Genomic DNA, 1,392 nt, shown 5'->3' on the forward strand with positions numbered 1-1,392 from the left:
ATAGGAAGAATTTATTGCTGGGCCTTCCAGTTCTGTTAAAGAATGCCCATAATCCAGGTGACCCGATTTAAAATGTCACATAAACCATGCTAACATATGAACATGTGAATCACAATTCTTCTCACCATAAAAAGGAAAGAAAGAATATTACATTAATAGCAAATATTACCATTTCTATTTAAGAATACTCTAGTGTTTGTTGAGAAACCTCTCCCTCACCAGTGTATTTCTAATTATTTGAAGATTTGAACATGCAAATATTGCTGTAATGAATCTCACTTTAATGAAAGAATAGAAAAAGAAATTGCATTCGAAGTGATGGTGATATAGATGGCTACTTCTTTCAGTGTAAAATGGTATAGGTAAGAGTATTCTTTTTTATTATAACAGATTCTTTCAAGCAGTAAAGCAAAACAACCTTGTGTAAATTGTGTTTTATAAGTAAGGATGTAAAACAGGGAATGAATGCATGCAATTTAATGGAAATGGTATCATTAATGGTATAGATTGCCAAATGGAGTTCTCTAGTCTCCAGAAGCTGTGTTTACTACCTTTTCCAAAGTGACTTAATGGATTTTTAAAACCATGTCTTCAGTTACATTGGTCTTGTTAAATGGAAAGTTTAATTTTAAGCTTCTCCTGATTCCATTTAGTGGAAAAATCTCGTTTGCATAATCCCACAGCTATTCTTTATTGGAAATATCTTCTGTAAAACCTGGTTATTCGAGTTTCTCTGTACTTAGATTTGATTGAGGAATTAAAAATAAATGAAAATGCACAGTTCGACCTTAAGGCTTGCACATTATTTAGGTACATTACTGGAATTGCCTCTAAACAGCTCCAGATCTTCTCAGACTGTATAAGAATTAATTAAAATAAGAAAGAGCATTATGATGTAAAAGAATTTAAAAATATATCTTTGAAAATGATACTACCACATATTTTTATTTATTCAGTAGATATTTACTGAATGCCTATTGTCTGTTAGGCAAAGAACCAGAAATTGGGATTACACATTTTGTACACCATTTTTATACACATTTTGAATACCAGATTCCTAAGATTGCATCGGCATGAACTATTCTGTGTTACATGCTTTGAAAAGTTTTGTATGAAGAAATTACTTTGTCTTCTGAGCTATATAGTACTTGTATTATAATTAAGTCATTTCAAAATAATAAAAAATCAAAAAAGCAATGTCAGTAAATATAGCATTTATGTTTCTGATCCCAAACAGCAAACATACTATCCCTTCTCTCATATGAAACACACAAAAAATGACAGAAATGAACAAAAATGGTAATTATAGAAATTAAATACACAACTAGGAAGACAACTGAATAGGAGTCATCTGCTGTGAGATTTTTTTTTTGTTTTTCATTAATACAGAAA

Source organism: Homo sapiens, chromosome 4, assembly GCF_000001405.40.
Source record: "Homo sapiens chromosome 4, GRCh38.p14 Primary Assembly".
Taxonomy (NCBI): Eukaryota; Metazoa; Chordata; class Mammalia; order Primates; family Hominidae; genus Homo; species Homo sapiens.